Source organism: Homo sapiens, chromosome 5 (assembly GCF_000001405.40).
Source record: "Homo sapiens chromosome 5, GRCh38.p14 Primary Assembly".
NCBI classification, from domain to species: Eukaryota; Metazoa; Chordata; class Mammalia; order Primates; family Hominidae; genus Homo; species Homo sapiens.
The window spans coordinates 171,430,351-171,458,276 of NC_000005.10; the positions used below are offsets into that span (position 1 = coordinate 171,430,351).

The 27,926-nt window shown below is 53.9% G+C and overlaps 1 protein-coding gene across 1 annotated transcript in view, besides 5 other annotated features; it reads left to right on the forward strand.

The window, feature by feature from the left end:
- The window catches only part of FGF18 (fibroblast growth factor 18), a 37,980-nt gene extending 10,704 nt beyond the window's left edge, over window positions 1–27,276 (forward strand). The window contains exons 3-5 of the mRNA NM_003862.3: window positions 5,743–5,923; window positions 18,797–18,903; window positions 26,189–27,276. Coding sequence (NP_003853.1) covers window positions 5,743–5,923; window positions 18,797–18,903; window positions 26,189–26,455 — 555 coding nt within the window. The 3' untranslated portion in view covers window positions 26,456–27,276. The remainder of the gene's footprint in view (window positions 1–5,742; window positions 5,924–18,796; window positions 18,904–26,188) is intronic.
- Window positions 3,889–4,424: an enhancer, noted in NCBI's record as "H3K4me1 hESC enhancer chr5:170861243-170861778 (GRCh37/hg19 assembly coordinates)". NCBI's record gives its function as "activates a minimal SCP1, AML or CMV promoter by ChIP-STARR-seq in primed H9 embryonic stem cells {active_cell/tissue: H9 hESC(primed)}" and the evidence as "EXISTENCE:reporter gene assay evidence [ECO:0000049][PMID:30033119]".
- Window positions 6,836–7,344: an enhancer, noted in NCBI's record as "H3K4me1 hESC enhancer chr5:170864190-170864698 (GRCh37/hg19 assembly coordinates)". NCBI's record gives its function as "activates a minimal SCP1, AML or CMV promoter by ChIP-STARR-seq in naive H9 embryonic stem cells {active_cell/tissue: H9 hESC(naive)}" and the evidence as "EXISTENCE:reporter gene assay evidence [ECO:0000049][PMID:30033119]".
- Window positions 15,302–15,868: an enhancer, noted in NCBI's record as "H3K4me1 hESC enhancer chr5:170872656-170873222 (GRCh37/hg19 assembly coordinates)". NCBI's record gives its function as "activates a minimal SCP1, AML or CMV promoter by ChIP-STARR-seq in primed H9 embryonic stem cells {active_cell/tissue: H9 hESC(primed)}" and the evidence as "EXISTENCE:reporter gene assay evidence [ECO:0000049][PMID:30033119]".
- Window positions 20,613–21,184: an enhancer, noted in NCBI's record as "H3K4me1 hESC enhancer chr5:170877967-170878538 (GRCh37/hg19 assembly coordinates)". NCBI's record gives its function as "activates a minimal SCP1, AML or CMV promoter by ChIP-STARR-seq in naive H9 embryonic stem cells {active_cell/tissue: H9 hESC(naive)}" and the evidence as "EXISTENCE:reporter gene assay evidence [ECO:0000049][PMID:30033119]".
- Window positions 23,849–24,350: an enhancer, noted in NCBI's record as "H3K4me1 hESC enhancer chr5:170881203-170881704 (GRCh37/hg19 assembly coordinates)". NCBI's record gives its function as "activates a minimal SCP1, AML or CMV promoter by ChIP-STARR-seq in primed H9 embryonic stem cells {active_cell/tissue: H9 hESC(primed)}" and the evidence as "EXISTENCE:reporter gene assay evidence [ECO:0000049][PMID:30033119]".

Sequence of the window (27,926 nt, forward strand, 5' to 3'; positions counted from 1 at the left end):
GTGTCTCAAAAAAAAAAAAAAAAAAATTGTACCAACTCATAGGGTTTGTTCTGGGCATTACATAGGAAGACATCCCTCAAGAGATTCCTAGCACAGAGGAAGTGCTCAACACACAATGCCTGATTAAGAAACAAAACTAAACTAAAGAAAAAAGAGGGCCGGGCGCGGTGGCTCACGCCTGTAATCCCAGCACTTTGGGAGGCCGAGGCGGGTGGATCATGAGGTCAGGAGATCGAGACCATCCTGGCTAACAAGGTGAAACCCCGTCTCTACTAAAAATACAAAAAATTAGCCGGGCGCGGTGGCGGGCGCCTGTAGTCCCAGCTACTCGGGAGGCTGAGGCAGGAGAATGGCGTGAACCCGGGAAGCGGAGCTTGCAGTGAGCCGAGATTGCGCCACTGCAGTCCGTAGTCCGGCCTGGGCGACAGAGCAAGACTCCGTCTCAAAAAAAAAAAAAAAAAAAAAAGAAAAAAGAGTAATGATTGTTACTAATATAATCTTTTTCTGAGATAAATATTATCAACAGTCCCCATTTTGCTGATGGGAAAACTGAGAGCTAAAGAAGTCGAATAAGTGGGTTGACTGGGGGTGAAGCCAGGTGACAGCTAAGGTCAGCCAGTGCTGGTTCCTGTGTGAGTGTTGCGTGTGTGGTGTGTGTACATAGGTGATGTGTGATGTGACGCACATTTGTGGAAGGTGGAAATGGGGGCCAGGAAGAAAGAGGAAAATCCCAAACATGCTTTTCAGCCATGAGTGGGCTGGAGAGGCTAAAATCTTCAAGCCAGAGGGAGTGATGGAGGCTGCTGGATGCTCTGGTGTGAGGTGGTACCTTGGTTGATCTCTGGAAGCTGGTACTAGGCTGGGGGCTCACCTCAACCTCTTTTCATCACGTGGAAGGTTCTTACCAAGGTGCCTAAGAGGGGAAGCTTGCAAGGTAGACAGGGCTCAATTGTAAGGATGACACTTGGCTGTTGTCCTGGGTAATAGGGAGCCTGGGCAGGGACATGGCATCACATTTTGTGTTAAGAGCTGCACCGGGAGAGGATGAGACCGAAGGCAGAAGGTGGGTGGGCTCTGTGCCACTGAGCCCCATGATTGTCCCCAGGGCCGGGGGACCTTGGAAGGCTTGGGGGAGGGATTTGAGCCTCTTGGGGCCTCGTTGCCTCTGTGTAGTTGCTGCATTGGTAGAGTGAAGATTTCTACCAGAACTGAAGCCCTCAAGGCAGGGGAAGCAGGGGCTGGGGACAGTTGGGATCTTAGGCTGAAGGGGACCCTAGGCCACCATGCTGTGAGAAAAGCTGCTTCCACCCAAAAGATAATCCATGTGCATGGCGTGGCAGGAAAGGTGGAGTGACAAAAGGCACCTTGTTTCCGTAGAAGACTTCCTTTATGCACCAACCCTTCTCTCCTTTCGAGAGTTGCAGCAGACTGGGCGCGGTGGCTCACACCTGTAATCCCAGCACTTTGGGAGGCCGAGGTGGGCAGATCACCTGAGGTCAGGAGTTCAAGACCAGCCTGGCCAACCCTGTCTCTACCAAAAATACAAAAATTAGCCGGTGTGGTGGTGGGCACCTGTAATCCCAGCTACTCGGGGAGGCTGAGGCACGAGAATCACTTGAACCGGGGAGGCGGAGGTTGCAGTGAGCCGAGATCGCGCCACTGCACTCCAGTCTGGGTGACAGAGTGAGACTCAGTCTCAAAAAAGAAAAAAGAGTTGCAGCAATTTGATTTTCTTCAAACCGCAGCTTTTCAACACCCCTGATCATTGGATGCCTGGAGGGGTGTTAGCCAGGCCGACAGCAAAATTGACTGTTCTGGGAAGACCTTGAAGATAGGCCCCCCTTGCAGGGCACCGAGCCAAGTGACCTGCCACGCAGCTAGTAGGACAGGAGAAGTGGATGTTCCCGAGGCAGCCCCGCTATGCATGTGCTCTGGCAGCAGACCTTGAAATGGGCTTTAACTGGTGCTCACCTCCACGGGTCGCTGAGGTGCCATGTCTGGGGGTCATTTTCTTCTTCTTCTTCTTCTTTTTTATAAAAATTATATTTACTTATTTATTCATTTATTTATTTATTTCAGACAGATTCTCACTCTATCACCCAGGCTGGAGTGCAGTGGTGCAATCTCGGCTCATGGCAACCTCTGCCTCCCAGTTTCAAGTGATTCTCCGGCCTCAGCCTCCTGAGTAGCTGGGATTACAGGCATGCACCACCACACCTGGCTAATTTTTGTATTTTCAGTAGAGACAGGGTTTCAGTATGTTAAGATGGTCTTGAACTCCTGGCCTCAAGCTGGTCTTGAACTCCTGGCCTCAAGCGATCCGCCCACCTCGGCCTTCCAAAGTGCTGAGCCACTGCGACCAGCCTAGGGGTCTTCTTAGCAGAGTGTCTGGAACAGGGGAATGCTGGGTAGTCAGTTGCCTTAACACATCCCTCTGTGGGGCACTCTGGTTGGTAAGTGGGAGGGCTGATGTTGGCCTCCAGATTTCCCTCACTTTTGGCCGCCGCCTTTTGGCATGCGTTTGCTGGTTGCCTTCTGAGGGCAGAGGTGAGATTCAGGGATGAACCAGTCACACTGGACTTGGGACAATAAGCCATTGCAGTAGAGTGTTCGGGGGCCCTCACCCAGCCTGGGAGGTGGGGCTAGGAAAGGCTTCGGGGTAGGACGTGTCACACCCTCCAGAGGTCTTGCCTGGGAAGCCCGGGGTGCTTCCTGCCTTTCCAGGAGAACAGACCTTGTTTCCGAGCCAGAGGCCACCAGAGGCCACCCCCGCCACCTCCCTGGGGGCTGATCTGGCCACAGAATGGGGCTTCAATGGTGGGAGCTGGGCAAGATGGATTGTTCCCTCCCGCATCCTGGGGAAGTGCCACCCGATAGCCCCTGCTGACCCTGGGTCACCCACACTGCCTCTGTCCAGTGGGCCAGGGAGAAAATCATTAATGGGAGGCCGGCTTCTGGGGCAGGGCAGCTCCCCTTGGGGACCTGGGGGAAGGAGATTGGTTTGACCTCTGGTCGATAAGGTCTCCTGTGAGCAGGAGGAGAGTAGAAGGACAGGGAGGGGACGCCAGAGGCCTGCCCTTGGGGGAGGGGACAGGGCCAGCCACCTCCGGAAGTCATTCCAGGAAGGTCAAAGGCCATGGGTGGGGAGTCTTCCGGACAAATGCCCACCAGGTGTGGGCCTCAGGAGCACTGGAGTTCTTCTGTCCCTGAGCAGCAGGATGTGGAAGGAGGCGGGACCCAGGTATCAGACCCGGGCTGTGAGTGGTGACTGTGTGTGGCTGCTGAGGGCTGGGGGAAGTGAAGAGGAGGCACACATGGTGGGCCAGCAGGCCAGGCCCTGCCTCACTGGGCTGTGTGGTTTGGAGCAATGGACTTAACTTTTCTGGGCCTTAGTGTCTCCATCCATTCAATGAGGGTGATAAGCGTTCTCATGGTGCAAGGTTGTCAGGACTATCAAAAGCAATAGCATCTTCCCAGATATAAATCTGGTTTGCAGGGCTTCACCTAGGGCCCCATAAAGGGTTCCCTTGTGTTCTATCACTAGTTACCCCTACTGAGCCAGGCACTGCTCTGAGCACTTAATATATTGCTTTATATGTTTAACCTTTGCAGCCACTCATGAGGAGGGTGCTGTTATCATCACCCTATTTTATAGGTGAGGAAACAGGCACTAGAGTTTAATAACTTGCATAAGGTCCCTTAGCTAGAGAGTGGCACATCCTGGGTTTTGAACCCAGGGCCAGCTCCTGACAGCACTGGTGGGGCAGGCAGGGCCCCGCAAGGCAGTGGCCTGGGGCTGCCCGCAGGGGTGGGGCACAGGAAACACAGTCTTTAGGGTCACAAGGCCTGGGGTTAATTCTGCATTACTGCTCTGGGGCCTTGTCAGTGGAGCTGACAGTTTCCTCATCCATAATGTGGGATGATGCTTCCACCCTGAGGACAATCATGAAGGTTCAACAATGTGGTCCTGCTGACATACCTGTGGGCCCAGTCCAGGATCGGGAGATACATGCAGGTCAGCTTGGGGACAGAGATCCTGCTGTAGCAAATGAAGGAAACACATCCCTGCCCTTGGGAGCTCACAGCTGAGAGGTGAGACAGATGTTTGGGCAGCCAGGGTCCCAAGAGCTCTGCCATGGGCTGAGTGGGGGCGTGCCAGCGTGGGAATGGGGGTCCCTTGTGCCTAGCATTGTGATAGACTTTGTGGGCACACAGGGAACAAACCCAGAATGCTGTCTGGGCTTCAGGAATGGCTCAGCCTTGTGGTTGACATGGGATAGGACATGCATACAACCAGCAGGGTGTAGGGGACCCTGCTCCAATGGTAAATGGCACAGCAGGACTCCAGGTCTTTTCAACATTTGTTTATGTATCCATTCAAGAAGCGTTTGAGTTTCTACCGTGTTAGGTGCTGCGGATATAGTGGCAAATGAGAGACACTGCTCCAGCTTTCTCTCCCTTTTTTTTTTTTTTTTGATGGTGCTGCCAGTCTACTGGGGCCAAAAGACAAAACCCAGATAAGTGCTGGAAAGAAGCGCAAAGCATGGTTGAGGGGAGGGAGAGTGTCAGAGCTGGAGGTGGCTTCAGAAAGGGGTCCAGGAAGGCCTGCTTGAGGAGGTGACATTTGAGCAGAGACCCGAGTGAGCTCAAGGGGTTAGAATGTAAGGATCTGAGAAAGAGCATCAAAGCAGAGGGAAGAAGAAGTGCAAAGGCCCTGGGGCAGGAGTGTGTTTTGATTTTGGAATGCCCAGAGCCATGCCAAGGTGGCCAGTGGCCAGCGTGGCTGGTGGGGAGGGAGTGGTGGGAGAGGAAGGTGGGAAAGCAGTCAGGGGCTCACCTTGTAGGGCCTTGAGGCCTTGGAGGAATCCTTCACTGAAGTGTGATGGGAAGCCCCGGAGAGTGTGGAGAGGGGATTGGGTTTGGTAGAAGAGAGACTACCAGGGGGCGAGAGTGGAAGCAGAAGGCCAGTGAGGAGGCAGGTGCAAGTTGTCCCAATGAGAAGGGAAGGAAGATGAGCACGATATGTGTTGGTATAACCAGGGAAGGCTTCCTGGAGGATGTGGACAGGCACAAGCTAAGCCTCAAGGGAACTGAAGTTTTGGTGGCAGATGCAAAACAAAGGCTTCTCCTAGAGGAGCTCAGGATGTGGGCAAATGCTTGGTGTGGGAGCCAGCATGAGGACACTTGGGGTGTGGGGAGGAGACCCCAGCATCAGCTGCAGGGGGAGAAGTCACAGCGGACTTGGCCTGTTGGTTCCCTGGATGAGGCTTTCCAGGCCTCCTTCTTTCCCCATGGACCCAGCGTTCCATCCCCTCTCGTTCCTCACCCATCTCCACGTGGATTGGAGTACTTTTCTTCCCGTTTGCTCACTTAGTCCTCACAGCTACCCTGGGATGGAATCAGGGTAGGAGCTCTGCCCCACCATTTTACCGAGAATCGTTCTTGCTTTAATATGTGGCTGTGGTGGAAAGAGAAGCTTTGTTGTCGCATAGACCTAGGCCTGATTCTTAGCTTTGCCACTTTCTGGCTGGGCCACCTTGGGCAACTTGCCTCGCCTCTCAGAGCCCCGGTTGCCTTGTCTTTGAATGGGGGTAGTGAGGGGGTGGTTATCAGTGTGTGCCACGGCCTGGCTCAGAGCCGGTGTAGAGAAGCCCTTGGTCTTTGTGGTGGACGTGGCTGGCTCCTGCATGCAGTGGGCCTGGGACATCTGGGGTGGCTTACTGTGTCCTTTTCCCTGCCCAGGTGCTGGTTGCCGAGGAGAACGTGGACTTCCGCATCCACGTGGAGAACCAGACGCGGGCTCGGGACGATGTGAGCCGTAAGCAGCTGCGGCTGTACCAGCTCTACAGCCGGACCAGTGGGAAACACATCCAGGTCCTGGGCCGCAGGATCAGTGCCCGCGGCGAGGATGGGGACAAGTATGGTATGTGCCAACCCTCTCCTCCTACTCCGTGTACCCGTGTACATGTCCTTCCTGGCCTCAGAGACCTCAAGTTCAAATGCCAGCCTTGCTGCTCCTGGCTGTGTGATCTTGGACCTGGCACTGACCCTTTCTGGGTCTGTTTCCTGATCTATAAAATGGGGATGCAATAGTGAATCCTTGAGAGCATTGTCAGGAGTACTAACTGAAGATGTGAATGAAAAGTTCTTTGGCCGGTAAATGCCCCATAAGTCGCATTTGCTGTGGTATCAGTGGCTTGCCTGGGATGGCCTAAAGCAGGTGGCTGTTCCCATGCCACCACTCACCAGCCCCAGGTTCAGCCACTTCAAGGGGCAGGAGCCTCGAGGTGATGCTTTTAGGAAGCTGCTGGTGGTGAAAATCAGCCTAGTGTGTGTGTTATGTGCGCGTGTGCATATGGGTGCTTTGAGCTTGAGCCTGTGCACCTGTGATATGTGGCACTCATTAACACCTTGGGCCATGGTCCTGTTGACCTGCCCTTGACCCTGGAACTGCCCAACCCTCCTGGAGTACTTGGGAACTCACCCCGCTCCCCTGCCTATGCTGCCTCTGCAATGGCTGGGAGGAGTGAGACATCCCAAGCCCCTGGTCCACAAAGGTGCTCAGCAGTGAGTGAAACAGGCAGCGCTCCGCCTTCCCAGAGCTTGGAGGGCCTCTGGCCTAGACAGACACTGAGCAAATACCACGCAGATTATTTATTTAAAATTGCCAGGCCGGAAAAGCGGAGACTGCTGCGAGGCCTCCTGGTCCTTGCCACTCACTGGGAAAGCACCTGCCCCCACCCATTCCTGCCTTCTCAGGCCCAGGTTCTAGGAGATGGCCCAGGCCCCAGCCTTGGGCCTGGGGATCTGGGGCCGTGGTCCTGTGTGTGGGGCCAAACCTGCCAGCCTGAGCGTTTTTGGGACGATGCCCCGCCTGCCTGCCAACCCTGCCCGTTGCAGTCAGGACGTGACAACAAGACAAATAATTTCTTGGACCTTTTATCTTGGACACCATTTATTTTCCCTCAGCCCCGGGGCAGGACTGACCTCATGGTAGGGCCCAAGCGTGGCAGCTGCACCGTCACTGGGGGCTGGGCCAGGCCAGGCCAGGCTGGGCAGGGCTGAGCCATGCTGGGCTTGTGCACCTCCGGGCCAGCTGCCTCCCTTCTCCCAGGCATCACTCTTTACCGCCTCCGTTCCCCTCCCACTCTCTTTCCCCTTCTTCCTTTCGCAGCTTTTCCCCGTTCCCCGTTTTGTTTTTGTCCACCTCTCTGTCCCCCTCCCCACCAGCTCTGTCTCCCTCCTTCGGACCACAGCTTCCCTCCTCCCCACCTCTCCCAGGCCCTCTGCTGGCTGCCTCTATGGGGCCTCCCATCCCTCGTGGCCCCCTCCACAGACGCCTGGCTGTGCTAGGCTGACCCAGGTGGTGGTTTTCCCTCGGATCTGCTGTCCAGTGGCTGCCAGAAGGGGCAGCTGGCTGGCCGTGGCAGGAGGAGGTGCCCTTCTGGGGAGTCCCAGAGCTCTCATTGGCCCCTCCAGGCTGGGAGAGTACAGGGGGGTCAGACTCTGGTCTGAACCATCTGTCCACGCCCTGAGACAGGAGGCGGGAGCTCGAGAGGGAGGGGAGCCTGGAAATGGCCGGCCCCTCACCCCAGAAGTCACTTGCCCTCTCATTCCCTCTGCCTGAACTGGGAACTCAGGGAATCTTTCCTGCTGTGTGACCTCAGACAAGCACTTTGCCTTCTCTGGGCCTTGGTTTCTCCTCTGCACAATGGTTGGGCTAACGCAGTGCTTCTTCTTTTTCTTTTCTTTTTTTTTTTTTTTTTGAGACAGTGTCTTGCTCTGTTGCCCAGGCTGGAGTGGTGCAGTGGCATGATCTCGGCTCACTGCAACCTCTGCCTCCTGGGTTCAAGCGATTCTCCTGCCTCAGCCTCCCGAGAAGCTGGGATTACAGGCGCCCACCACCACGCCTGGCTAATTTTTGTATTTTTAATAGAGACGGGGTTTCGCCATGTTGGCCAGGGTGGTCTTGAACTCTTGACCTCAGGTGATCCACCCGCCTTGGCCTCCCAAAGTGCTGGGATTACAGGTGTGAGCATGGCCGCGCCCGGCCATGCTTCTTAAGTGTAACATGGGTGTGACCACGGAGGGATCCTGTCCAAATGCCCATGTTGGTTCAGTGGGTCTCGGGGGCGAGGCCTGAGCTGCTGCATCTGACAAGTGCCTGGGCGGGGCCAGTGGGCAGCACTTCCAGTACCTGGGGACTAGGCCTTCTTGGCTTCTCTGCCAGCACCACGCTTTCTAAGATTTTATGATCCTCTCTCAAGGAATATGTTTCTGTACTCCTCCGACCCCCCGACACCCAGGGCAGTGCAGGGCCTTGCTGGCTGCTGCTGCTCCATTTAAATGCCACATTAGAAACACAGATGAGGCCAAGGGACCCCATCTGTGAGCCCGGGGAGAGGAAGTGAGACAATGGAGCCAATTGAGGCTTCCAATCTAGATAATCAATACAAATATTATTGGGAGGGTGATTTATGTGGCCAAGCCAGGGCAGGAGGATGGGCCTGCTCTGCTGATCTGCATTAGGGGCCTGCCTTGTCTCAGGGGGAGGGGCTGCCAGAGCACCCAGGACAGTTCAGGAACCTGCTCCCACTGAGAATGATGCAATCTGAGATGTACCACACACTTTGTCAGAATCGTAAGATTTTATAACATGCAGTCTCAGAGTCTCAGCAAACACCATGGATACATCCCCGTAAACACCTGGAATCTGGAATCCCCACGGACACTCAGAACCTCAGATTTGCCTCTGTAAAGGCCAGAATCCTGAGGTGCTGGCTCTGTGGGTGGGCACGAGGGGCTGGGTGCCCTGCCCAGGGCTCTTGGCCTGCTGCGCAGTAGTGGGTGGTCCCTTAGTGAAATCTGCTTGGATGTCAGTGGGGCTTCTGCACCTTGGTATTCTGCAAGAGGGTCTCCCGGTGGCCCTCTAAAGCTCTCCCAGTACTGAAAAGCTTTAGGGGTTCTGAGAGTGGGCCGCTCCAGGAATAAGGGACTTTCTTAGCCTTGCCTTGGGTTCTGGAGGGAGAGCACAGCTGGCCAGAGGGCTGGAGGCTTAGGTAGTTGAATACCTGGCAGGTGGGAGGTTGTGGGGGAGGGGCACCCTGCCCACCTGGGATAATATCAGCCTCCCCTCTTCTTGCCGTTGGTGCTGGACACTCTGTCCTGCAGGCAGTTGCCATGTCATAGAACAGCACTGGAACAGGAAGCAGGACACTGAGTTCCAGCTGCAGCTCTGCCAGGGAGCATCTTGCAGGGCTGGGGAAGAGCCTCCATGTCTGGGCTTAGCTTCTTTATCTGCCAAGTGGGGAGGAGAAGGCCTCCTCCACCTGCCCTTGAGGTGGATGTCCCTAAGCCTGGGATGTGACGAGATGGGGAAGGCACCAACTCCTCAGAAGGAGAGGGGGCCAGCTGAGCCCACACGCAGGGAGACTCTAGCATCGGGGGGTTTCCGGGGCAACTCTGCTTTTAAAGTTTAGGAAACCTTATGATTGGATATTCCTGCCTGATTTTATTTGAAAAAAAGATTTCTCTGTTTGAGAAAAAAAAATGATTAAAAAACCCCATTTTGCGGTAGGCCAGCCTCCAGACTGACAGTGCCCAGAATAACCCTGGGCAGGCCAGCTAGAGTGGCCCTGCTAGCCAGGGAGATGGTATTTGGAGGATTGAGCTTGTCAGCTCAGGAATCTAATGGGATTTGAATCTCGGCTCCACCACTTTCGAGTGGGAGACCGTGGATCTGAGTTAGCCTTTCTGATCCTGTTTCCTCTTCTACAAACAGGGAAATTGAAATGAGAGAATCTTATGCCCAAAGATTATATGATCATTAAACCAGTACTAATAATCACCACCTGACCTCCTTACTATGGGTGTGTGGGGGGGGGTGGTGCCATCGCGGGCTCAGGTGAGGAACTGCCATCAGGTACTGGCTCCAGAGGCTTCCAGAAAGGACCTGAGGGAAGAAGCGGTACTCCTGTCTGCTGTCAGTGGGACCTGGCAGGTTAGATGCAGGTAGAAGAGTCGTCCTCCCGTGATTCCCAGCAGCAAGGTCTCTGCCCCAGTGAGGGAGGAGGGCCTTTGGCTCCCCTGATTGCGTGTGTCTCCCCTCAGTCCCTTATTCATTCAACGTAAATTACCAAGCCCAAGCACCAGGGGAGGGGGCTACTGTGGTGAGTGACATGCCTCGTCCCAGCCATCAAAGAGCCTTCAGTCTAGGGCCCCCATTCCTTACTAGAGGCTGACTTTGAGTAGGAAGAACCTAGGCTGTGAACTTCCCACGTGACTGTGAGCCCACCCATTCTCTCCCTGAGCCTCGGTTTCCCCACCTGTAATGTGGGTGGGGTAAAGGGTGTGCAGCTGGTACTTTGCAGCTTCCTCCAGCTCAGGCATGGGGTTAGTCTGTGATTCCAGCTTTACAGGGAGTCAGCACGCCCCAGTGCAGATGCTTCTCTGAGCCCCCAGGCTGGGTACAGAGCCCCAGAGCCCCTGTGCTTGCCCTTGTCCCAACAAGGGTCCTGCTGCGGTGGAACCATCTGTTGACGTGGCTGGTGCCCCTGCGAGAGTGTGAGCTCCTTGGAGGGAGTGACTTTGTCTTGCTCTTTGCCATGTCTCCATGTCCAGCACAAGGCCTGGCAGAGAGCAGGGCCCCTTTAAATGTGGCTAGAAGGATGCATAAAATATGTACAGGGCAACTCAAAGTGTAACCGGGGGCTGCCGTCAGTGGCTCACACAGGGAGGAAGGTCGGGGCTTCAGGGCTATTGCTGAGTTGGTGGTGGAGCTGGGAGGGAGTCCTCTCGTCCCCATTTCCCTCCTTCTGGTAGTTGCCAGAGGTCCTTTGGGCTGGTTGAGTGGCTGACGTAGCAGGGACCCCTAGTCTCAGAGTTGAGCCCCCACGGTCCATTTTCCACACGCATCCCAAAATGTGAGCATGTTCCTGCACAGCTCAGAGGTGCTCATCTCACTTAGAGTAAAACTCATGTCCTTGAATCGGCCTGCAGGCCTGGCGTGCCTGGCTCCTGATCCTGCTGCAGCCTCAGGCTCTGCCTCTGCTCCTTGCTTACATGGCCACAGCCACAGCAGCCTTCCGGGCATCCCGTGAACACCCAAGCACTGTCCGTCTGCGGGCCTTTGCATTTGCTGTCCTGAGAATGCTCTTCTCCCAGATATCCCCATGGCCCGCTCCCTCACCCACCCAGGCTTCTGTACGATTGTCTCCTTATCAGAGAGTCCCCAGCTCTGTCCACCCTTCCTAGCACTTGTCGCTATCCGACCTGCTGTTATATATTTAGTTACCCACTATCTGTCTCCCGTGTTAGAGTGTAAACTTCTGGAGGGTGGAGGTTTTGTCTGTTTTGCTCACTGTTGCATCCCCAGTACACAGGGCCAACCACGAAGACGCTCTCAGTATATGCTTGAGCAAGTGAATGTATGGGTGATGCCCTGTGTGTGTCAGGGTATGTGGCAGGTGTCCTTCCCCCTGGCGCATTGAGGCAAAGAGGCTTCCTTCTGTTTGGCACAGATCTCAGTGCACAGTAGGTACTTGGCAAATCAGTGTTCCCTCCCTCCTTTCCCACCACCCTTCCTTTCTATCCGGCCAGGCTTGCACTGTGCAGTGGGGATAGGGTGATCATCAGACCCAGCTTCCCCCAGCAGGTCTCCCAGCTGGGAATGGAACTTCCTATCTCCACCTAAACCCCTGCCCCTCTGAGCTCATGTCCCACAACTTCTGTCCCCAGGGAGGAGTGACCACCCACACCTCACCAACCCCTTGACTGACACGGCTATGCTAGAGCTACAGCTAGGGTTAAACAGAGCTCCCGATGAACCCTATTGGTTTTTCCCCCCAACTTTCTGGTGTGTCCATATGGAGAAAGGTCTTTGAGAAAAGACCATATACAGCAGAGTGTGTGTGTGTGCCTGGGTGTGTGTGTTACAGTGACAGGGAAGCGTCTCCAGAAAGGATACCTTCTCCTCCATTGCCACCTCTCTCTCCCCCTCTCAAGATCTGGTCTGCCTTCAGTGGGGAAGGAGGGAGGGCTGACTCGGTGTGACCTCTCAGTGCTGTCTGTAGTGAGGATGGTTCTTCACTGGGGGAAGACGCCTGGAGAGCAGCCAGCAGCTCTGTCAGCACTGGGATCTTTGCGGCTGGCCAGCTACCGTCCAGCCCTCGCAGGGCCCCAGATCGGAGGCCCAGCCCCTCCCTGGCTCCCAGCTCCCCTGCTGCTCTTGCGGGTCTTGGGGACTTTACCCCAGGCTTGGGGAAAACAAACCCACCCTCCAGCTTTGTTCTCTTGGGTTCTGCCTCTTTGGGTCTTGTCCCCTGCATCTGTGGGATTCAACTCTGTCTCTGTGCTGTGTCTCTCTCCAGGCCTCTGGCTGCCTCTCTGAGTCTTTCCCTGCTGTTTCCCACCCTTCAAACCCAAAGTCTTCACAGCGAGGCCCCGGATCACCCTCTGGGAAACCCGGCTGGGGAAGCACACTGGGATTAGTCAACCAATCAATCAGTCAGTCAATGCCACTTCCCTTTTCTGTCATCACCAGCCTGCGTAAGGTCTGTCCTCTGTCTGCCTGCGTACCTTGGTCTGAATCTCCATCTGTCTCAAACTGGCTCTGGCCTTGCTCTGCCTGTGTTCAAATCCTGGTCCTACTGTGAGACTCTGGTCAAGCAATTTAACTGCTCTATTAACTTACACTGATTCAGTTTCTTCATCTGTAAAATGGCATAATAGTTCCTACCTCATAGGGCTGTTGTGATGGTCAAATGAGATATTCCACATTCACACACTTTTTTTTTTTTTAGATGGAGTCTCGCCCTATAGCCCAGGCTGGAGTGCAGTGGTGCAATCTCGGCTCATTGCAACCTCTGCCTCCAAGGTTCAAGTGATTCTCCTGCCTCAGCCTCCCAAGTAGCTGGGATTACAGGCATGTGCCACCACACCCAGCTAATTTTTTTTATTTTTATTAGAGACAGGGTTTCACCACGTCGGTCAGGCTGCTCTCGAACTCCTGACCTCAGGTGATGTGCCCACCTTGGCCTCCCAAAGTGCTGGGGTTACGGGCATGAGTGCCCGGCCCCACGTTCACACTCTTAACATCTTAACATTGCTTGACACATGGTATATGCTCAGATAAGTATTCACTGTTATCATCATTTTTTTTTTTTTTTTTTTTTTTTTTTTTTTAGCAGAGACAGGGTTTCACCGTGTTAGCCAGGATGGTCTCGATTCCTGATCTTGTGATCCACCCACCTTGGCCTCCCAAAGTGCTGGGATTACAGGCGTGAGCCACCGCGCCTGGCCTGTTATCATCATTCTTTAGTCATTTTTGCTGCAGGCATTAAAGTGGGGAGAGACAACATGAGTTTTTTGTAGAAAGAGTTTTGTCTCCAGCTCCCTTCCTGCACTCTTTCCCCCTTTGCTGCTCTCCTTTCTGGATGCCGGAGAAGGGAGCAGATCCTTTGAGCCATTTTTCTTTCTGCCACTCTCCTTGGCCCCAGCCCTGGGTGGCCTCTGGGCTCCTGCTCTGTGCGGAGCCCTGGGGAGACAGGCTCTGTGGGCCTTCCTTCCGGGGCAGCTGTGGCCTGGAGCTTCCCATTTTGTATTCCTCCTCTTGTTTCATGCAGCCTTTTCTCCTCTTCATCAGATCTGAAACCTTCTTTGCCTCTCTCTGGCTGTGGTCGCAGCCCAGCCCTGGGTGGTCCTGAGGGTTTCCCATCTCCCGGTATCAAAGGTATCTTTCTCAGGGTGACCCTGGGGACTCCCTCCTTCCTCAAAGTCATTTGGAAGTGGAGCTGAGGGAAGGTGGACATCCCCATCCACTAACTTCTGCCCAAAGAAAGTGGGGTCAAAGAGAAGACCTCCCCTGCCTCCTTCGCTGTTCACTCACTCGCTCCCCAGGAAAGGGACTGGGGCCTCTGAGAAGTGAGGGGTGGGGTAGACAGGCAAAGCCCAAGACTTCTGGGTCAGACTGCCTGGGCTTGGATCTCAGCTCCATCACTGTGTGACTGTGGGACTCGGTTTTCTCACCTGTAAATTGGGGATAATAACAATAGTTCTAACCTCCTGGGATGGTGGTAAGAATTAAATGAGATAATGCATGTAAGGTAGTTAGGACAATGCCCAGCACATCATAAGCTCTAAAGAAATGTCAGTTACTGATACTTTCCATAGGGGCAGAACTGAAAGAGGCCTCAGAGGTTACCTAGATCTGGCCCAGAAGGGAAAAGGTCTTTCGCTGTGTCACTGAGGCTGGGGATGGGTGGGTGGGAGCCCATGGTTCTTGCAAGTGGCACCGAGAGTCGCACCAGGAAGGCGCACAGTGGTGAAGGGCACTGACCATGGAATCAGACGCTGGACTCAGACCTTACCCTGCTCTTCCCAGCCATGTGACTCAGGCAAGCCACTTCACCTCCCTGAATTTCATTTTCATTAGCCAGTGAATGGTGTTAGTCATCTCCACACCACAAGGCTGTTGATGAGCTTATTAAAACTGGCTTACTGGTCGCTCACTCTGAGCCGGGCGTGGGATAGGCGCTGGAAGTCAGAGTGGTGATAAGACAGATAGGTTCTTGTCCTCGTGGAGCTTACTTTCTGCTGGGTGGAGACCGACAATAAAAATAAGAGTTTCGGAGAAGAGCTCTCAGGAAAATGGAGCAGGGGAATGGGGTAGGGCTGGACTGGGGAGGGTGCTGCCAGCATTAGACATCATGGTCTGGGAAGGCCTCTCTGAGGGGCAATATTTGCACCACAACCTAGGAGATGAGGAGCCACTCTGGAAGCTCTGGGCAAAGCAGCCTCCAGGCAGAGGAACGACATGTGCAAAAGCCCTGTGGTGGGAGCGTGCTTGGTGTGCTAGAGGGGAGAGGCAAGGAAGGGAGGCAGGGCTGGTCCACAGGGTCCAGGCTGTGTGCCCTTTGCGGGTCCCATTGAAGAGTTTACATGTTCTTCTATGTGGGTTGGGGATCCCTAGGAGGTCTTTAGCAGAGAAGGGACACAACTAAATTTATATATTTTTTGTTGTATGTTTTGAGATGGAGTCTCACTCTTTCGCCCAGGCTGGAGTGCAGTGGCATGATCTCGGCTCACTGCAAACTCTGCCTCCTGGGTTCAAGTGATTCTCCTGCCTCAGCCTTCTGAGTAGCTGGGACTACAGGTGTGCGCCACAATGCCCGGCTAATTTTTGTGGTTTTTTTTTTTAGTAGAGATGGGGTTTCATCATGTTGGCCAGGCTGGTGTCGAACTCCTGACCTCAGGTGATCCACCCGCCTTGGCCTCCCAAAGTGCTAGGATTACAGGCATGAGCCACAGCGCCTGGCAAATTTATATTTTTAAAGGATTTCTCTGGCTGTGGTGTAGAGGAGAGATGGATGGGGGTGAGAGTGGCAAGGGGAAGGGGCTGTTGAGTTGTGCAGGCTGGAGGGGACGGTGGCCCGGCCAGGGCAGTGAGGAAGTCTGATGAGCAGGGTGAGATAATGTCATCAACTCCTCCGCCTGGCCTGGTGCAGGCCCCACAAATGGAGCTGTGCCTGAGCCCGGATGAGGTTTCCAGCTCTTGAGAGCAGCATCCTGGGGGCTTGGGTCATGGGAGTGGATGCGTGATGCTGAGGACCTGGCCTGGGTGGTGTCTCTCTCTTCTCCTTCTCCTGTCTCTCTCTCTCTGTCTCATTTTCTCTCTCCCTCTCTCTCTTTCTCTGAGAACTGCTGCTGCTATTACTCCCCAAAGACTTTACATAATTCTGGCCCGGCTCCCTCCTCATGATGTCATGTGCTGAGTGGAGTCTAGGTCACTCCATCGCATGCTGCGGTCGGGGAGAGAACAGACTTCTGGCTCCCCTGGCGTGACGGCCAGGCGCAGACCCTCCCCATGCTGGGGTGGGGGTGGCTAGGCTTGTGGTGGGTGGAGGTGCAACCTCTGCCCCAGGCCCTTTGGACAGCTCAGGCAAAGGCCAGGGCTTCCTGCGGTGGCCCTGGCTGGTGAGGGGTGGGGGTTGTGCTGGGAGGCCTGTCCCTCCAGACCTGGGGGCCTCTCCCCTGGAGCCCAGGCCCCAGTAGAAAGAGGCAGGCAGTCCTGAGGTCAGTCCCTGTTACTGGGTGCTGCTCTGAACCTAAGTTTCCTACACTGTAAAATGGGGACAAAGACACCCAATCTCAGGATGGATGGCTTCAGTGCACTGTAAGGGGAGCATAGCAGGAACTGTTCTGAGGACAGAGGTCCAGGCGTGTGCTGGGAAGGGCCAAGAGGGAGTCTCTCCCTTGGGCCTACTTGGGGTTGTCTGGGCCCCAGCTCAGTGGCTTTACCTACTTCCTGCATCTCCCATCCCTGCCCCTCTGCTAGACCCCACTTCCTAATCCCAAGGAGAAGGAGAGTAGGGTCGAGCCCCTCCCCCTTGCACAGGTAGGGAAACTGAGGCTCAGAGTGGGGTATGGCTTACTCAAGGTCACATAGCCTAGGACGGCAATGCCAGAATGAAACTAGACCCGGTGAGCCCCAGCCCCAGGCATTTTCTGGTCCATTTTGCAGTGTGGGATGTCTGCAGCCCTCAAGGATGCTGGGAAGTTCAGGTCATAGTGCAAGACCTGGGGAGGGAAGCTTTGCTGCTCCTCCACCCTTGCAGACACATCCGATATCCTTCCACTATATTTTCGTTTTTCTTTTCTTTTGGGAAAACAGTTTGGTTTTTGCAGTTTGTAGGAAACTTAAACAACATTTACTGAGTTTTCCCTCCCTGAGAACAGAGTGCTAAGCTCTTCACAGCATCATTTTGTATAATCCTCCCAATAACTATTGAAGATTATACCCCCATTTTACAGGAGAAGAAACTGAGGGCCACAGTCATACAGTTGGGGCCAGGGATTCATATCCAGATTTGTGCACCCCAAAGCTCTCACCTTTTCCCCTCATCAGAAGCACCTGAAATTGTCCTGATTCCCCCATAACTCCTCACCCCCTGTGGGGCCTGATCTTTACGAAGAGATGGAGAAAGCAAGTTTCAGAGCTGCTGTGATGTTTGGCCCTGGGGAGGGAGCTCACAGAGGAAATGACGGAGTTTGACTTAAGGGGAACAAGGAGGATCAAGGGCTTGTGCCCACCGCCATCTCAGCGTTGGTTAATATCCCTGAGTCAGTGTTGACTAGGGCTGGGGGGAGGTGGAGAGAAGAATGTGCCTCCCCCTGTTTCTAGAGTTACTAAATTCTTGTTAGATCTTTAAATTTTATGTAAATTCTTCTTTTTTTCCCTCTTGGAAAGGTGGGTATCGTATTTTAATTAGTAGTGGTGTCAAAGGAGGGCTAGATTAATTATTGGAAATCTCAAGTTCCAGATGGTTTTAATTTTCACAGCAGGGCACCAGGGTCTATATTTGTAAATTTTTTTATTAAAATCATACCTAGTGTATTTTAGGGGCACTGAGGTATACTCTTTGTGGCTCCAAGGATACTGTACTCAGGAATTTGGGGCTATGATTTTTGTTATGGAGAAGCAAGTCCCTTGTCACTGAAATTAAACTTTTGTGGGTGAGGGAGGGGCAGGGGCTAGGAAGCAAGGGGTCAGGGAAAAGAGTGCACGAATTGGGAGTGGGGCGGTCACAGGCAAATAAAGCAGCTGGTACTGGGGAGTCAGGCACAGCGGTTTAAGACCAGAGAGGAGAGAGAGCTAAGAGAGGGCGCGTGGCCTACCCAAAGTCACGCAGCAGCGTACTGGGGAGAAAAATGTGGGCTGGTGGAGTGAGAGGAAAAGATTTGGACACAGCATACCTAATCAAGGGACAGTCACTCTTTGCCTGCTTGATGTCCTTGTTCAGGCAGGGCTTTGGGGGATCAGCTCTGGACCCCTCATCCTGAGGGAGGCTCTGTGGAGCATGGATGGTGTAGCATGGGGTCTCCCACCCTGGGGGGAATCCCAGTGGGGATCCGGTCCTGATTGGGATTTCTGGGCTCCTGGGAGTTAGTTACCCTTCAGCTTTGGTGGCCTCCATGGACGGCAGTGGAATATCCTGCATACCCTTTCCTAGGGAGCTCGCACCTCACTCCCTGTGCCCTTCCTGCTATGAATAGGCAGGTTAAAGGTGCCGGGGGCACTAGCAGGGGCTCCAGATGTTTGCCCTGCAGGAAGGGGCCACAGACCTAACTTTTGGAGGAAATAGCTTGACGTCCTGAAAGGCAGGGGAGGTGTGCGTGCACATGCCTGCATCTGTATCTATCTGTCCCCTTGGTCCCCTTAGCTACTTCTCTGTGGTTATTTGTATGGCATCTGTCCTGATTTGGGGAATGGGGTTATTTTTGTGATTGTCTGTCTTGCTTTGGGTTTGGGGGATGGGGTTATTTGCATGGCCGCCTGTCCTGCTTGGGAGAATGGCCTTTTTGTATGGCCGTCTGTCCTGCTTTGGGAAATGGGTTTTTTGCACGGTTCTTTGTCCTGTTTGGTGGAATAGAGTTGAGGGGCTAGGGAAGGTGGGTGACGATGGGTAGAAGGGCACACTGGTGTTCAGCCACAGGGGGCAGAACTCCCTTCTGGCTGGAGCCATCTGGATCCCAAGTGGAGCCAAGAGAGGCTGGAGGAAAGGGAACAGGTGATAGGCAGCTTCCATCTCCCTGCCTGAGGGGCAGGGGACAGCTACTTCTCTGACTTCTCTGTGGTTATTTAGGCATCTGTCCTGTGGGACTTGTTAGGCCTCCCCATGCCTGATTTTGGGGGAGTGAGGGACCAAAGATAGGACCAGGGACCATGTCACTGAGCCTTTAGACCAAGCCATTGCCCCTGGTAATAAAATGTGTCTTGTTCTCCTTCTGCCTTTCGAAGCCCAGCTCCTAGTGGAGACAGACACCTTCGGTAGTCAAGTCCGGATCAAGGGCAAGGAGACGGAATTCTACCTGTGCATGAACCGCAAAGGCAAGCTCGTGGGGAAGGTGAGTGATGGTTTGGGATTCCCGGGAACTTCGGGTTCCCCTCTGGCAGCTCTGGGAGCTGGAACAATGTGTCCAGGGCACTGTCAGTCCCAAATGGAAAACAGGCCGTGTGTGTGTGTGTGTGTGTGTGTGTGTGTGTGTGTGTGTGAGAGAGAGAGAGAGAGAGAGAGACAGGAGAGAGAGAGAGAGACTGTAATCTCTTCCTTTCACCCCATCCCATCCCCCACTTCTCTTCCCCGGGCACTTGAACTCACCAGGCTGAGGTATCCATGGCTGTGTCTCTCCTGTTGGGTGTGGAGCTCTGGCTTGCTTGGTAGTGGGAGAATCCTTGAGGGGCTCTGGGGCACCCCGGCTACATGTCCCTGACGTCTGGGAGCAAGGAACCGGCAGGCCAAGGGCTGTGGCTGCATCGATCGTTTTAACAATTGCCAGGGGCTTACCGTCCTGCAGCAGTGACCTCTGGAACCTGGCCGCCTCGTCAGCGCTGGGCCTCTTGGTTCTAGCATTTCAGAAAGATTTTATTACTTTGAAACTGGCAAGAGAGCTGCATTTAACAAATTAGGGTGGGGGCAGGAGTGGGGGTGCAGGTTGGGGGGACCCTCGGGTTGGGGAGACCCACGTGTGTGGGGATCTGAGTCTCCAATGATGCTGCTTCTCAGCACCCCTGTTCGTTTCCTGGGTGCGCTTGTTTGCAAAAGTCATGAACTGGCTTCCTCTGGGTGTTCCAATGGAAGGTGTTATCCACAGGAGCTCTATGGTAGGGTCAGGTTCTCTGTCCCCTTCTCTCTGCAGGGACTGACTCCCATATGCAGTTTGTACAACCAGGGTTGAGGGGGTTTTGCCTGGACAGGTGGAGTGGGGTGGAGGGTAGGCCTGGATTCTAAGGGGGATGGGCTTGTGCTTGGGGGCAATGCCCTGGCTGATTATTTGCGGTTCATTACATCTTGTTGGGGGTGGGGGAGATGACTTCAGTCTTGCTGAAGCCATGTTTTTGATTTTTTGAATCCCCCAAGTCTTATCCCTCTCCCTTTCCCCCATACCAAGAGGCTGGGGAGGATGTAACAGGCCAGAGATCCCAGCCAGGGCATTGTCGCATTATTTTGTTAATAATTACTGTCATAATAGCTTCCGCTAATTGAGCACTGACTTTCTGCCCGGCACTGAACTGAAACGCTCCCAGTGAATCCCAGGAGGCTGCCACCGCTACCATCCCCATTCCACAGATGAGGAAGCCGAGGCTTGGCCACGCCCGGGCACTTGTCCCAGGTCCCACACTACAGCTCGGCGGGATTCAAAGCCCGGTTTGGAAGGAAAAGATTCCAGCCGCACTGCCCACACCAACTGAGGCTTCTCAAAGAGCAAAATAATAGTAATCCGCAGAGCGCGGCTCCGGGATGCCGAGGAGTGGTTTTAATTAGTGATTCACTTTCCGCCGTTGCGAGGCTGGCCGGCCGGCGAGGGGGGTCGGGGCCGGGGCCGGGGCCACGGACTGGGGCGCGGGCGCCGGGTCCCCCTAGCCTGGCCGGTCCCCCTGGCCTGGCCGGTCGTTTCCTGTGGCGGCGCGGCCCAGCCCCGCGTCAGGCGCTTTGTTCTCCTGCCCGCCTGGGCCGCCTCCCAGGCCCAACCTGCTTTGAGTTTTCGGCTCGTTTTTCTTTCTCCCCCAGCAGGGGCCAGCGGCACCCGCCAGTGCCCGTGCCCACGCCGCGGCCCGCCCTCGCCGTCTGCGTGCTGTTCCCGGCATCTTGACCCCAGGAGGGCTGCGCGGGGGTCAAAAGAGCAGCCCCGTCCCCTCGGGCCGCCCCCCCACCCCGCCGCCGGCCGCCTCCCGCCCGCGGGCGAGCCGCTGAGTCACCGCTTCCACAGGAGCCGGCTCCGATTTCCTGCCCCCTCGCCCTCTCTCCCGTCATTAATATTGGTGACGGTTCAGCTGGCGCGGCGCACCCTGGCGCAGCGGAGGGAGGCCCGGCCCCGGCCCCCGGCGCCTCCCCCGCTCCCGCCCAGGCCTCCACGCCCGACCCCAACCCTTGCCAGCCTCCTGTCTTCTGGGCCCACCCGGGGGACTCGAGGACGCCACCAAATCCACCTGTCCAGGCTTGACCTCTGCCCCGCCCAGCGCCCCCTCGCTCTCTGGCCCCCGAGGCGGGAATCTGGCTCCTGGGCTGCGGTCCTCTCCACAGCCTCCCTGCCCAGTCGTACCTTAGGCCCTGGGTGTCCCCTCCTGCCCTAACCCCTGCCACCGCCTCTGTTCTGGCCTCCTACCATCCCGGAAATCGTTGCCCCAGCCGCCTGGCGTGTGGCTTCTGCATCTCCAGGCCTTTCCCCGCTGCCCACCTTCGGCTTTCTACAGCACATACGGCATTGGAGGGCGGCACATGACCTGCCCTCCACCCCCACCCAGCTCCAAACCCATCCATGGGTCCTCCCACCTTGCTATGGGACACCGAAGGCCCTGGGGAGCCTCCCCGGGCACATGGATTCCTTATGCTCCAGATGCGTGGCACTGAGCACCGCTGTTCCATGGACGGGGCCTTCGGGCACTGTCCATGCTGTGCCCTCTGCCGGGACTGCCCTTCCCTCTGTCCACTTGCCCTGAGTCCTGGCTGGTCATTCCCTGACCCCTCTGTCAGCCCACCCACCCCGGAGCCCCACAGTCCCTCGCACAGCCCTCTGTTGCCTGTCTGCTAACCTGGGTTGTCACTGTTTGTCTTTGTGCCTGCATCCTCTGTCACACTGGGAACTCCCTGAGGGCGGATTCTGCATCCATTCATCTGAGTTCTGTGTACCTGGCCAAAGGGCTCCGGGGGCACCAAAGAAATAGAAACATGGTTCCTGCTGTCTGTGGATTGACTCTTAAGCTACAGCCTGAATTATTCACATCAACCCAAGGGAGTCTAAGCGCCCTGGCCTTGCTGAGCCTCAGCGTCGTCATCTGTAAAATGGGAATGATAATCTGGGCACTTAGTAAGCAGGTAGGCACTTGCTAAGTGTTAGTCCCTTTCCCCTTTGGAGCCAGGTCACGAGGTCACTTCTTCACCTGTGGGAACGCCTGGTCTCAGCTCCAGTGCCAACTCCTTTGGAGTGGCTCAATGGGGCAGCTTCCTTGGGCCATCTGTGTGCCAACCCTGCACATCTCTGGCCACAGCAAGGGTACCTGCATTGAGCCCTTGACAGAGCTTTCCAGAGGTTGCAGGCCCTTGCTGGAGTTACTCTTTCTGCTGCATTGTACCAATCAGATGCCAAAGCTGTGTCCCCAGCCCCTGCATGTTCAGGCGGCCCCCCTTCTCCTTGCTACCCTCTGGAACCCATGTCACCTGGCCCAGGAGGTGGCGCTTCCTTTCATTTTGTAAACAGTTGTTGAGTGTCTAGCATGATGTGCTAGGCATTTTTTTCCCCATCTCTGGAGACGCAACCCAGATTGTATTTTTCTCATCTGCCACCACCTATTGCGATCACTGATGAGTCCTTTTTGGGGCAACATAGAGCCACAGACCTTTTCAGGGCAGGGGAGTGCTCTGCCCACCAGCACATCTTTGTTAAGATGGCTTTGGTTGCAAATGGCTGAAACTTAACCTAAAATGCCTTAAGCAAAAAGGGAATACGGGGCTTATATAGCAAACAACAACAACAAAAACCAACAGTCCAGGGGGTAGTTCTAGTTTCAGGTAAGACTGGATCTAGGGGCCAGATGAGGTCATCAGGATTCCGTCTTCAGATCAAATGGAAGGACTAGGGCTCCAGTTTGGGAAGCAAGAGGTTGGAGGTGGTAGTAGGAAAGAGATCAAATTCTGCTACATCATCAGGGTTCTGGGATGGAATATTCACTTACTCTCTACATACTGATGCTTCTGCCTTGCCTGAACCAATTAAGTCAGAGTTTCCGGGGGTCGGGCCCAAGCACAGGTGTTTTTGTTTTTGGAGTCTCTGCTGTGGTGAGCAGGGTCATAGAGGTAGCCAGGAGCAGAGGCAAGCGTCAAGCCCGGATGTAGCCTGCTGTTAGCTTCTTATCCATTTTTGCCTGAGGTCACGCAGGGGAACTTGTGATCATCATAGCCCCAGGGCTGGTTCCCAAGATTCGTGAATTTCAGCCCAAAGCCTAGCTCTTCAGCCCTTTTAAGTAAACCCAGACATGCATTGAGCCCGCGTGACTGGCACTGGGTAGCTCCTTGTACATCCAAAACCTCGCTTTGTGCCAATGGTGGCTATGTGGGCCTGGGGGAGGCGAGATGTTTTGATGGGCAGCACCTGCTCCTCACCTTTCCCCCTTGTGGACCTCTTTGGAACTGGGCAGAGGAGAAGTGAGCTGCAGTGGCTAGGGCAGGTTCAAATCCCAGCTCTGCCACTTAGAATCTCCATGACCCTGGGCAAGGCCGATTTGCTTCTGAGCTCTGCTTTCTTCTACCAAGCAGAGCTGAAGAAGAGGATGAAATGCAGTAATGGAAGTAGCAATGTTTGGCCTGTAGTTGGCAATCAATAAATGGTTAATGACTGAGTAGGGAGACCAAGTGTGCGAGACAATTTCTAGGGCTCAGCTTGCTTTGTCTCCCTAATCAGTGTGTCTCAGGAGGGACCTCTCATAGCTTCTGCTTGTCTCTGGGACATTTATAACAGATCCAGGAGGGAGAGTCTGTTTTCTTCAGGAGGAAACCCCTTTCATGTGTCATCCCACCGTTTCCATCCTAATGAAAATGCGTTCAACCCCAAATGCTCGGGGCACCCCTGTCTTGAGCTAAGACCTGTGCTCAGCAACAAGAGAACTGAGAAGCAGCCCTGACCTCAGCAGGCACTTGGGCTAATGCGGAGGCAGGCAGATATGGAATTTCTCTGTTGGGGCATGGGGAGGAGAAATGGGGTTCAGAAGATGGAGTATGTGAGCCCATTAAGGCTTGACGCTTGAATGGAGTCTTGAATGAGGAAGAAGAATTGTCCAGGGAGATAAAGGGAAGTCCTGGAAGGCTTCCCAGAGGAGGCAGTTTTTGAGCTGAGCCTGGAGGGATGAAAGCCATTTTCCAGGCAGTGGCAGGTATTCTAGGATGGGGGAGCATCATGGTGTAGCCTTTGTTCTGTTTGCTCCAACTATTTGGTTGAGACCAGGCAAAGAACCTGGATTCAGGTTGCACACACAGCTTCCAGAATTTTCCATGGGGTACCCAGAGCCCAGGGACCACTCCTCTCCACCTGCCTTGCACACTTACCCTGGCTTTCCTCACAGTAGACCTTCGCTGCTCACGCCACCCATACTGTCCTCTGGGTCCCACGTGTGTGTCCCAGGTCTGCCCATGCCTGTTCTGCAGCCTCCTCGAAAGATCTCATCTTCCAGAGAGTGTTTTCTTACCCTGCCTGTCCCTTTCTGCAAAGTTCAGCACTTTGTCTGGAGGGCCCAAGCTTGCCCTCTGCTCAAAGGTGAACGTTCCTGGAAGCTCCAGCCTGTTTTCCACTTCAAACAAAAGGCTGGAACTCGCACCTCAGTCTCCACACACAGCCAGACCGCTGGGCTTCCAGCTTGGCTGGGCATCCGTCCGTAACGAGGAGTGGGCCCGGCCTAAATTTGGAGATGTTAGTTGGAAACTCAAGTGCTGCTAATTCAGGCCTTCCAACTTTGTGTTTCCCACTCTTCCCCATCGAGCAATTCGGCTGTCTCAGAGAGGAGACTAACACCCTGCCTCCTCACCACCCCCTGTCCAGATCAGATCCAAGGAAGGCACGCCAGCCCTGTCGGGAACAGCTGCCGTTCAGGAATAATCTAGCAAGCTCCTACTGTGTGTCAGATTCATTTATAAGCATCACTCCTACAGTGTCTCTATGATGCAGGAGTCATTGTTCCCATTAGGTAGGTGAGGAATTTGAGGTTTACAGAGTGGGACTGACTGGCCTGAGGTTACACAAGGGAAGTGTTAGAGGTCGTTTGTTTTCTGACTCCAAATCTAGTGCTCCTTGTCCAGCAGACCCAGGCTCCCAAGGGAGTTCACACATCGGCCCAGGAGCCTGAGATCCCACAACCGACGGCACAGTTTGGAGTTTGGCCATGCGAAATCTCTTATTTTTGGAGGCCCCACCTTTCTTCATACCAAGTATTAAAATGCACCACATCCCACATGACATGTAATTTGTATTTAACTAGATCACAGTGGAGTTGAGTTACAGCTGAGTAGCTGATTTAATGTCAGGTTTTATGCAAATCTATCAGGACTCATTTCTGTTGTAAGCGATAGAACACAGTATCACCTGTTTTAAAGGAAACGAACCATCATTGGCCCACATAACCGTGAGGTAATGTGAGCTTCAGACGTGGCTGGATCTAGAGCCCAAATGATGTGACCAGGACGTAGTTTCTGTCCTTCTCTCCTCCTTGACTTTGCTTCATCTGTGCTGGCTTCACTGTCAGACAGGATCTCCCCTCATGGTGATAAAGTGGCTGCCTCTGCTTCAGCCTTACAAACTCCTCTGGTTTAAATCCACCTATGTTTGGGGTTGCCTAGAAAAGGTCTCAAGGAACACTGATTGGATGGCTTGGGTCACTTGCTCACCTGTGAGCCAATCACTGAAGCCACAGGGAAAATAGTGTCTGGATGTCTTGCTCTGGTAGGGATGAAGTGGAGCCATTGGGCTATCTGGGTGGAGAGTGGGGAAGGAATAGATTTCTGAATGACAATGGGAGTCTGTTACCTAATTGGAGGGTGGGGGAAAGATGCAGGGGCCAGTAACAAAAGTTTACTCCACAGATCCAGGAAGTGAAGGCTCTCTGTCCTATGCTGCCCCAGCCACAGCCTCCTGCCCATGCCCCTTGTACCTGCTGTCTCCTCTCTCTCCTCCTAACAAAGAGTCTTCACTCGGCCAAACTAGAGTCAGGCTCCTGAACCTTCTCTTATGCCCATCTGTGCACTTCTTTGTAAAATCCAGTTTTAGCAAGAGCCCTGCTAAGTCAGTTTAGCAAGGATCCCCCACTCTTGATATATGATCAGGGTCCTCATCCTCCTCCATCCCTCAGGTGATGTCTGGTCACCCTGGCCTGTCCTCAGCAAAGTCTCTGTTAGGTGGCTTTAGCCAGAATCCCCTACACCCTCGATGTTTCCTCTTAGTCATTTTCCACTCTGCTCCTTGGCTATAAACCCCCACCTGCCTGTGCCATATTCAGAGTTAAGCTCAATCTCTCTCCCCCACTGCAAAACTTCATTACAGTTGTCCCTACAACAATCGCAATGGTCCTGAATAAAACCTTCCTCGCTGTGCTTTGGCAAGCATAACTGAGTCATTTTTTTCTTGAACACTCCCCCTCTCTCCCCTGCAGCCCGATGGCACCAGCAAGGAGTGTGTGTTCATCGAGAAGGTTCTGGAGAACAACTACACGGCCCTGATGTCGGCTAAGTACTCCGGCTGGTACGTGGGCTTCACCAAGAAGGGGCGGCCGCGGAAGGGCCCCAAGACCCGGGAGAACCAGCAGGACGTGCATTTCATGAAGCGCTACCCCAAGGGGCAGCCGGAGCTTCAGAAGCCCTTCAAGTACACGACGGTGACCAAGAGGTCCCGTCGGATCCGGCCCACACACCCTGCCTAGGCCACCCCGCCGCGGCCCCTCAGGTCGCCCTGGCCACACTCACACTCCCAGAAAACTGCATCAGAGGAATATTTTTACATGAAAAATAAGGAAGAAGCTCTATTTTTGTACATTGTGTTTAAAAGAAGACAAAAACTGAACCAAAACTCTTGGGGGGAGGGGTGATAAGGATTTTATTGTTGACTTGAAACCCCCGATGACAAAAGACTCACGCAAAGGGACTGTAGTCAACCCACAGGTGCTTGTCTCTCTCTAGGAACAGACAACTCTAAACTCGTCCCCAGAGGAGGACTTGAATGAGGAAACCAACACTTTGAGAAACCAAAGTCCTTTTTCCCAAAGGTTCTGAAAGGAAAAAAAAAAAAAACAAAAAAAAAGAAAAACAAAGAGAAAGTAGTACTCCGCCCACCAACAAACTCCCCCTAACTTTCCCAATCCTCTGTTCCTGCCCCAAACTCCAACAAAAATCGCTCTCTGGTTTGCAGTCATTTATTTATTGTCCGCTGCAAGCTGCCCCGAGACACCGCGCAGGGAAGGCGTGCCCCTGGGAATTCTCCGCGCCTCGACCTCCCGACGACAGACGCCTCGTCCAATCATGGTGACCCTGCCTTGCTCGCAGTTCTGGAGGATGCTGCTATCGACCTTCCGTGACTCACGTGACCTAGTACACCAATGATAAGGGAATATTTTAAAACCAGCTATATTATATATATTATATATATATAAGCTATTTATTTCACCTCTCTGTATATTGCAGTTTCATGAACCAAGTATTACTGCCTCAACAATTAAAAACAACAGACAAATTATTTAAAAAACCATGAGGCGAGTGGTGGCTGGTGGCTGGTGGCAGGGCGGGGGCAGGGTGGCCTCTGTGTCTCATGCTTTCTGGTTGGTCTGTGGTCTTTGCACTGAGAGCTAGGGCCTTGCACATTCATTCATTCATTCATTCATTCATTCATTCATTCTTTGAATTCAACATTACTATGCACCAGGCGCTGAGAAGGCAGCCTTAGAACAGATGGAAATCCTTGCTTTCCGGGAGATTCCATTCTAATGGGTCATTGATTCAGTGGCCTCTTCAGTCATTTGTTCATATGCATTTACTCGTACCTCTCATGTGCCAAGGCTCGATTCTCGACCCTGGGGATTTATCCAAGAACATGGAAGAAAATCCCAGCCCTCAGGGAACTTCACTTCTAGTAATTCATTGATTCATTGCTTCATTTGCTCATTTCTTGATGGATTTATCCATTCAATATATATTTCTTAGGCACTTACTAAGCGCCAGGCACTCTTCTAGGTACTGGAAATTCATCAAAGAATAAAACAGACAAGAAATCATGCCTGTCAGAGCTTGCAGTCTAGGGATTAATTGAGTCACTTGTGTCTTCCACATCAGTGTTTTGCCAGGCACAGGTTGAACCAGGGAATATGGTGGGAGGATCTAGATCAGTTTGGGACCTGGCGT